The 8,986-nt window shown below is 42.3% G+C and overlaps 1 protein-coding gene across 10 annotated transcripts in view, besides 3 other annotated features; it reads right to left on the reverse strand.

The window, feature by feature from the left end:
• Positions 1-8,709, reverse strand: part of CMC2 (C-X9-C motif containing 2) — a 40,438-nt gene extending 31,729 nt beyond the window's left edge. For 6 of the 10 annotated variants that reach the window (NR_147843.2, NR_147842.2, NR_147841.2 and 3 more), the window contains exon 1: positions 8,558-8,709. The gene's annotated coding sequence lies outside the window, so the exon portion shown is untranslated. Of the gene's footprint in view, positions 1-108; positions 179-3,071; positions 3,159-8,557 lie in introns of all 10 variants that reach the window. The other 4 variants (NR_147838.2, NM_001351967.2, NM_001351970.2 and 1 more) reach the window with 3 other exon arrangements.
• Positions 618-1,184: an enhancer, noted in NCBI's record as "NANOG hESC enhancer chr16:81032399-81032965 (GRCh37/hg19 assembly coordinates)". NCBI's record gives its function as "activates a minimal SCP1, AML or CMV promoter by ChIP-STARR-seq in naive H9 embryonic stem cells {active_cell/tissue: H9 hESC(naive)}" and the evidence as "EXISTENCE:reporter gene assay evidence [ECO:0000049][PMID:30033119]".
• Positions 6,034-6,123: an enhancer, noted in NCBI's record as "active region_11173". NCBI's record gives its function as "activates an Ori minimal core promoter by ATAC-STARR-seq in GM12878 lymphoblastoid cells {active_cell/tissue: GM12878}" and the evidence as "EXISTENCE:reporter gene assay evidence [ECO:0000049][PMID:35858748]".
• Positions 8,447-8,816: a silencer, noted in NCBI's record as "silent region_7748". NCBI's record gives its function as "represses an Ori minimal core promoter by ATAC-STARR-seq in GM12878 lymphoblastoid cells {active_cell/tissue: GM12878}" and the evidence as "EXISTENCE:reporter gene assay evidence [ECO:0000049][PMID:35858748]".

Consider the following 8,986-nt stretch of genomic DNA (forward strand, 5'->3'; position numbering starts at 1 on the left):
GTGATCCTCAGCCTCCCAAAGTGTTGGGACAGGCATGAGCTACCGTGCCCCACCTGGGCTTAACCTACTCTAACTCAGAAATGATTACCAAAAGAAAGAACCGATTACCTGCTTTAATTTTTTTTAAAGTTCCAAATAGAAAACAGGAACCAACCCATATCCATTAGGATGGCTACTGCTGAAAAAAAAACAGAAAATAACAAACGCTAAAGAGGATGTGGAGAAACTGAAACTCCTGCGCACTGTGGGCGGGCATGTAAACTGGGATAGCCACTGTGGAAACTGGTATAGCAGTTCCTCAAAAAATTAAAAATGAAATTACCATATGATCCAACAATTCCACTTCCGGCTATATTTTCATAAGAATTAAATGCAGGGTTTTGAAGAGATATTTGAACACCCATGTTCACGGCATATTATTCACAATAATTAAAACATGGAAGCAACCCAAGAGTCCAACAGACAATGGATCAGCACAATGTGGTATATACATACAATGGAATACTATTCAGCCTTAAAATGGAAGGAAATTCTGGCATATGCTACAACATGGATGAAATGTGAGGACATTCTGAATGAAATAAGCCAGTCAAAAAACATATATATAGGGTTCAACATACGCAAATCAATAAATGTGATTCTCCACACAAACAGAATTAAACACAAAAACCATGTGATTATCTCAATAGATGCGAAAAAGCCTTTGATAAAATCCAACATCCCTTCATGATAAAAACCCTCAACAAACTAGGCACTGAAGAACATACCTCAAAATAAGAGCCATCTATGACAAACTCACAGCCAACATCATACTGAACAGGCAAAAGATGGAAGCATTTCCCTTGAGGACCGGAACAAGGGAACAGGATGCCCGCTCTCACCACTCCTATTCAACACAGTACTTATTTCCTAGCCAAAGCAATCAGTCAAGAGAAATAAAAGGCATCCGAATAAGAAAAGAAGTCAAACTGTCTCTCTTCACTGACGATATGATTCTATACCCAGAAAACCCTAAAGACTCTGCCAAATGACTTGAGTAGTTTCAGGATACAAGATCAACATAGAAAAATCAGTAGCACGTCTATACACTATAAGGTTCAACCTGAAAGCCAAATCAAGAATACAATCCCATTTTCAATTGCCACCAAAAAAATAAAATACCCAGGAATACATCCAACCAAGGAGGTAAAAGATCTCTACAGGAAGAACTACAAAACACTGCTGAAAGAAATCACAGATGACACAAACAAATAGAAAAACATTCCGTGCTCATGGATTGGGAGAATCAATATCACTGAAATGGCCATATTGCCCAAAGCAATCTACATATTCAACACTACTCCTATCAAACTACCAATGGCATTTTTTCACACAATTAGAAAAAACTATCCAAAAATTCATATGGAACCAAAAAGGGGCTCAAATAGCCAAAAGAATCCTAAGCAAAAAGAACAAAAACCAAACGTATCACATTACCCTACTTCAGACTATAAGGCTACAATAACCAAATCAGCAAGCTTCTCCTACAAAAACACACACATGGACCAATGGAACATAACAGCCCAGAAATAAAGCCACACACTTTTGATCTTTGACAAAGTCAACAAAAATAAGCAATGGCAAAAGGACTTCCCATTCAATAAATGGTGCTGGGATAGTTGGCTAGCTATATGCAGAAGAATAAAAGTGGACCCCTACCTTTCATCATATACAAAAATTAACTCTAGATAGATTACAGATTTACACAGAATGCCTCAAACTATAAGAATCCTAGAAGAAAACCCAGGAAACACCATTCTGGACATTCACCTTCGGAAGAGAATTAGGACTAAGTACTCAAACACAATTACAACAAAAACTGAAACCTAATTAAAGATCTCAAAACAGCAAAAGAAACTATGAATAGAATAAAGACAACCTACAGAATAGGACAAAATATTCACAAACTATGCATCCAACAAAGGTCTAATATCCAGAATCTATAAAGAAATTAATTCAACAAGTAAAAAATAAATAATCCCATTAAAAAGTGGGCAAAAGGCTGGGCACGGTAGCTCACACCTGTAATCCCAGCGCTTTGGGAGGCCAAGGCAGGCAGATCACAAGGTCAGGAGTTCGAGACCAGCCTGGCCAATATGGTGAAACCCCATCTCTACTAAAGATGCAAAAATTAGCCGGGTGTGGTGGCGGGCGCCTGTAGTCCCAGCTACTCGAGAGGCTGAGGAAGGAGAATCGCTTGAACCCAGGAGGCGGAGGTTGCAGTGAGCCAAGATGGCGCCACTGCACTCCAGCCTAGGTAACAGAGTGAGACTCCGTCTCGAAAAAACAAAACAAATAAACAAATTTTAAAAAAAAGTGGGCAAAAGACATCAACAGCCACTTCTCAAAAGATATACAAGTGGCCAAAAAACATGAAAAAATGCTCAACATCACTAATCATCAGAGAAATGCAAATCAAAACCACAATGAGATATCACCTCACATCAGTGAGAATGGCTATTACTAAAAAGTCAAAAAAACACAGATGCTGGGGGAGGTTGTGAGAAAAGAGAATGCTTATACACTGTTGTGGGAATGTCAATTAGTTCACCCACTGTGGAAAGCAGTCTGGAGAGTTCTCAAAGAGCTTAAAACAGCTACCACTAGATCCAGCAATCCCATTACTGGGTATATAGCCAAAAGAAAATAAACCGTTTTACAAAAAGAAAAACATGCACTCATAAGTTCTTTGTAGCTCTATTCACAATAGCAAAGATATGGAATCAACCTAAGTGTCTATCAGTAATGGATTGGATAAAGAAAATATGTACATATACACCATGGAATACTAAACAGCCATAAAAAAGGACGAAATTATGTCCTTTGCAGCAACATGGATGCAGCTGGAAGCCATTATCCTAAGTGAATTAACGCAGCAACAGAAAGCCAAATATGGCATATTCTCACTTATAAGTGGGAGCTAAACACTGGATACTCACAGACATAAAGATGGCAACAAAAGACATTGGGGACTAATAGACGGTAGAAGGAGGGTAAGGGCTGAAAAACCATTAGGTACTATGCTCACTTACCTGCATGATGGGATCAACAGTACCCCAAACCTCAGTGTCATCCAATGTACCCATGTAAGAAACCTGCACATTACTTATATCCAAAATCTGAAATAAAATTTGAAATTATATATTTTTTAAAAGGCAAATACTTTAACATTCCACTTATACGAGGCACCTAAAGTAGTCAAAATCAAAGAGACGGAAAGTGGAATGGTGGTTACCAGAGGGAGGTGGAAGGGCAGGAGGAGATGAATGGGGAGTTACTGTTTAACAAGCAGTTTTACAAGATAAAAAGTATTATGGAGATGGACGGTGGTGATGGTTGCACAACATTATTAATGTATCTGATACCACTGAACTGTGCATTTAAATGGTTAAGATGGTAAATTTTATGTTACGTGCATTTCACCATGCGAATTTTATGGTATGTAAATTATACCTCAAGCTGTTAAAAAAAAACCTGTGAGAAATTCAAACTGCCCATCCACCTCCCACTCAACAGAAACAAAAAACTGTCTGAACAAATAATTCCAAAGGATTATAGCATAGCTACTATTTCAATTGCAACTTATAAAAATGCAGTAGGTCCCTGTACTATTCAGTAACTACTAAACACACACACACACACACACACACCACAGCTGAAGACCACAAATAAAGCCATTGCACCTAGTTAAGTATTCATTTGAAACGAAAAAAGAAAATGCAGCCAAGTTTAAATTTTGTTTGCCTGCCACTGACTCCAAGATCCTTCCAATGATATCAATTTTTGCCTTAGAAAAATTAAGTTTCATACAGTTCAGCAATTTAAGTTATCCAATATCGTACCAATATTCTGCACCTACATTTATGTGAAGTGTTAGTTTTCTGGTTTCTGCCTTATTTTTTCCTAAAGAAAACATACACTGGTATAGGCCAGATGCGGTGGCTCACACCTGTAATCCCAGCACTTTGGGAGGCTGAGGCAGGTGGATCACCTGAAGTCAAGAGTTCAAGACCAACCTGGCCAACATGCCGAAACCCCATCTCTACTAAAAATTCAAAAAATTAGCTGGGCGTGTTGGTGGGCGCCTGTAATCCCAGCTACTTGGGAGGCCGAAGCAGGAGAATCACTTGAACCTGGGAGGCAAGGTTGCAGTGAGCCAAGATGGCACCACTGACCTCCAGCTTGGGTAACAGCGCAAGTCTCCATCTCAAAAACAACAATAACAGAAAACAGACACTGGTTTAATCACTAGAAAATGTCTCTAACATTTTCTAAATGTATTTGACAAAATATTTTTGCACATTTCTATCAACCGGCACTCAAATGTGTGCCTTTACAATTCAGAAACAAGCTTATGATGTACTGAAATGATTTCTTTAATTGACAAATACCTGAGAAGACACTTGACTGAGACAATATTAATAGATGCAAAGATGTATATAAGCCTAAGTACATAAAATGGTACATATTTTCCTCCCTCTATAACAAGTTTACCTCAAATACATATGCTATTGTCAATCAGGGTAGGGTACCAATAAAACGTCTTCCCTTCTAATTCACATTATTTAGTTTTACTTTGAATTGACAAATAATAATTGTATATATTTATAAGGCCCTTCTACTTTCTTAGCCTAGATGACTATGTCAAAGAATAAAATGGTTTAATTTCATTTCCTTTTCCTATTCTTGGTAAGAAGCTACTACTTAACCTAAAGCTCTAAACACTCACCTTATCCCTTATCCAACAGATTCCTTGCTTTCCCCATCACTCCCTTCTTTCTTCTACCACATATTTTTAGCTAGATATGTTCTTCCTCCCCTTGCCCTCTACCTACCCGTCACCTATGCTCACTTCCATCCACTTTGTGTCACTTGGCTTTGCCTAAATGTTGGTGCATACACAGATGTACTGCTGTATTCTGGGGTGTAATATGTAAGGTACAACTGTAAAAATGGCAATGTTCTCTCAGAACACATGTAATTAAGTGCTGATGTCTTCCAGCACTCACCTTTAAAAGACTATTCTAGTAACACAATTTAACTCAAAATATATTTAACAAACTGAAGAAACGCTAAATACGTATTCCATATTCTTATTCTTAAAATTTCTTCAAAGTCATAAGAAGATATCAACGTTATTAGTTTAGAAAATAATTTGTTGAACACTTGCCAAGTGCTAAGCACAAGTCTTACAATGCAATAACCTTATGAAACGGGTAGCCTTTTAAATTCAGTTGAACCATGAGAAACTGTCTTTTTATAGGTCAAAATATGCACTGCCCACATTTTCATAGAGAAACTAAGCCCCAGGTCACACAGTAGTTAGCTGCAAAGTCACAACCCAACATAATCTCTAACCATGACAGATTTTTAATCCATGTTCAAAATAGGAAAGACAGGCATTCACAGCAGTTTGTGAATGAAATACATTCAGATGGAAAAACTATTTCCCAAAGAGCTTCTGATTGACTACAAGTTCAAAAGGTAGTCATTCTAGGCCCAAGTTCCAAAGCAGCCAACGTAATACTATCCTGTAAGTGTGGAAATAGTGAGTCTGTCAAGACACAAAAAAAGAGAAGAGTATTGTATTTGTCACTAGTCAGCTACTCACAAGTTACATCATTTTGGTTACTAATCTGAGACCTAAGTCTCTCTTCCATAAAATGGAATTTGCTCTTGACCTATATATCTCAGTGATGGCATGGGTTTAAAATAACTTATGTGAGGCTGGAAGCTGTGGCTCACGCCTGTAATCTCAGAACTTTGGCAGGCCGAGGTGGGCAGATCACTTGAGGTCAGGAGTTCGAGACCAGCCTAGCCAACATGGTGAAACCCAGTCTCTACTAAAAATACAAAAATTCGCTGGGCGTGGTGGTGGGGGCCTGTAATCCAGCTACTTGGGAGGCTGAGGCAGGGGAATCGCTTCAGCCCTGGAGGCAGAGGTTGCAGTGAGCTGAGATGGCACCACCTGCACTCTAGCCTGGTCGAAAGAGTGAGACTCCATCTCAAAAAATAATAATTATGAACATCAGCAGCATGGTGGAAACGAAAGTGAAAGGAACATAAGACCTCGTTCTTGGATGTTTCCAGTGAAATAGAGAGGGATAAATTCCATTCAAACTGTTATTATTTGAATAGAATAATATTTAATTCCAGTGCAGACCCCAAGCCAGGCTGCTCCTGGGAGCGACCCCAGGGACTGCCTGGGGAGGAAGGCTTAACTACTCTGACTTCCATCAGTTTGTCAGTCTCATCTTTACAATGGCATTTAAGAAAACATCAAAAAGGTAAACTTGTCACGATTCCACCACCTCCCTCCTCAATCCAGCCCCATCCACTGTGTATGCACACAATGATACCAAAACAGTCCACTGAAATTCCTTAAAATTTTCAGCTGTCAAATGTGTTTTGATAGCTAGCTAAGGGGCCCATAAGGGCAATTTTAACTTTTCCTGGGGAGTAAGCTGGGAGGGTAGAAGCGGTAGGGTACTCTTAGTGAAGATATAAAAATTATAGCTTTCTTTTACTCACTCCTTCAATCTTTGTCTACTGACTCTGAGGTACAATTTTCCTCAAGAGTAGTCTAAGACAGATTTCAACCACCAGGTGGCACAATTTTAGAAAATAAACCAAGAGCCAGCGCTGTATTAACTCTAGTATAAAGAAAACGGGTAAGCATTCTAATAACTCACTTCAGCAAATCTATAATCACAAGGAAGAACCCTGTATTTTAATGCCAGTTGGCTTTTCTTTAGAAAGATTTTCCTATTGTGCGGCTGCACAGGAAATTTACACTACAGTTGTAATTTCTAATGCTACTGCAAAATAAGCAAAAAACAAGGCCAGAAAAGTCTGTTGTGCAGAGTCTGAAGAAACTGTTCTCCAGAAAAAAAAACTGTAAACACTCCGCTTTCTAAAATATATCTTTTTAGGCTAGGCGCGGTGGCTCACGCCTGTAATCCCACCACTTCGGGAGGCCGAGGCAGGCAGATCACTTGAGGTCAGGACAAGCCTGGCCAACATGGTGAATCCCCGTCTCTACTAAAAATACAAAAATTAGCCAGGCGTGGCCTGTAACCCTAGCTACTCAGGAGGTTGAGGCACGAGAATCACTAGAACTCGGGAGGTGGAGGTTGCAGTGAGCCGAGATCGCGCCACTGCACTCCAGCCTGGGCGACAAAACAAGACGCCGTCTCAAAATAAAATTTAAATATATATATATATAAATAAATAACATAAAACATTTTTAAGGCCTACATTTCGGCCCTGGTATTAAAGAATTATTTTTCAACTTTTCAAGCTATGAGCCATACTGCAGCAGAGGTCGCAGACACGGTCGGGGACGGCCTCCCCTGCCCACTTCCACTTATCACAGGACCAGTTCTAAACCGATACCACTAAGAAAGCGACTGGCGCTGGCACTGTAGACCCCATGCCAGGCTGCTTCTGGGAGGGACCCGGGGGTGCTGCCTAGGGAGAAGGGCTTAACTACTCTGACTTCCACCGAAGAGTTTCTCAGAGAATGCGCCCTCGCAGCTTTCCCTGAATAAACATTACCAGGACTTACAAGGTGCCTAGCACTCTGCCAGAATCATGTGAATTTCAGAGGAAAATACTCGTTCACACATCTCAAGGAACGCACAGGCTCGTGAGGGAGCATTCTTGCCAATGCACATGGTAAATGCCCAATCGATGTTCGCGGAATGTCAGAAACTGACAACTAGTTCAGGCCTCAACGCAGTAGGAAAAGGATGAAAAAGAAACTCATTTTAAATCAACTAAACAAGTGCAAAAGCCATACATATAAAGGAGAGGAGATACGAATGGCATCACAACATAATTCCTTTGCCATCGAAAACTTCCATGCCTTTGAGGTTTTAAATGAAGACTTCCAAAACTGATTTACTTAAGACTCTACGTAAAACGCCTGATCTTTAAACGCAAGAAAAGCAAGATGAATGTATTACTTTCCTGGAAAAAAAAAGCATTAAAGGAGAAAAAAGAGTAAAGTGTACTGATGGGGCTCTTGGTGGGTTCTCACATCACAGGGCACTGCAGCTGAGACTTGCTTGAACGGCCCCCGTTTTCTACCCGCAAATTCTCAATTGCTAGATAAACAACAATAACAACACTTTATTGGGCGCTCATCGTGTCAAACCCTGTGTTGAGGGCTCCATTCCTCAAGGTCCATTTTACCGGCGAGGAAGCCCCGGCTCCGGGAGGGGAGGAGCGCGCCCAAGGTCACCAGCCAGTTGAGTGAGTGGCGGGCGGATCCCAACCCCGAGCGACGCCCACGGCCTGTCTCGGCCACCAGCGTGTTCCAGCGAGCGCCCAGCCACCTCGCTCGCAGCCTCCCCAGCGCAGCAGCCCGGCTGTGGGCCTGCGGCAGCCGGGTCTTCCTGGTCCCCACCTCCTGGGGCCGACGGGCGGCAGGAAGGGGCTCGGCGGGACGCGCCATCAGGGACCTGAGGAGGAACAACGGAACGCGTTCGGAACGGCCTGGACTCCCGAGACTCACCCGACTCGTGGCCACACCGGGAGAACTGAAGCGGCAGTAGCCGGCGGAGACGCCCGACCCGAAGGCCGGCTGCTAGGGAGCAGACAGCTGAACCGCTTGCCAGACGCCGAAACCCAGTGACGCCCTCCACCGCTCCACCGTGCTCCCGGCTCCTCGCCCCCGCCGCCCGCGGGCCCCAAGGCGCATGCGCCGCCTGTCCTGGAGGGGCCCATTTCCGTCCGTCGTGGGGGGAGGCACAGTGAGTCCACTGGGGCACGGCAGCGTCTAAGCCACAAGCCGAGCACATAAGCCAGGTCCTAACGGAGCCTATGTGTAAGTCCACTACTGGTGCAAGGTTGCACACTTCTAAGAAGAGCGGCGTGGGGGGCTCGGCGACCTTCGCTTCAGTCGCTCCCCCGTGCAGTCCCCTGTGCCCAAGACACAGCCTGA

This window comes from Homo sapiens, chromosome 16, assembly GCF_000001405.40.
Source record: "Homo sapiens chromosome 16, GRCh38.p14 Primary Assembly".
Classification (NCBI taxonomy): Eukaryota; Metazoa; Chordata; class Mammalia; order Primates; family Hominidae; genus Homo; species Homo sapiens.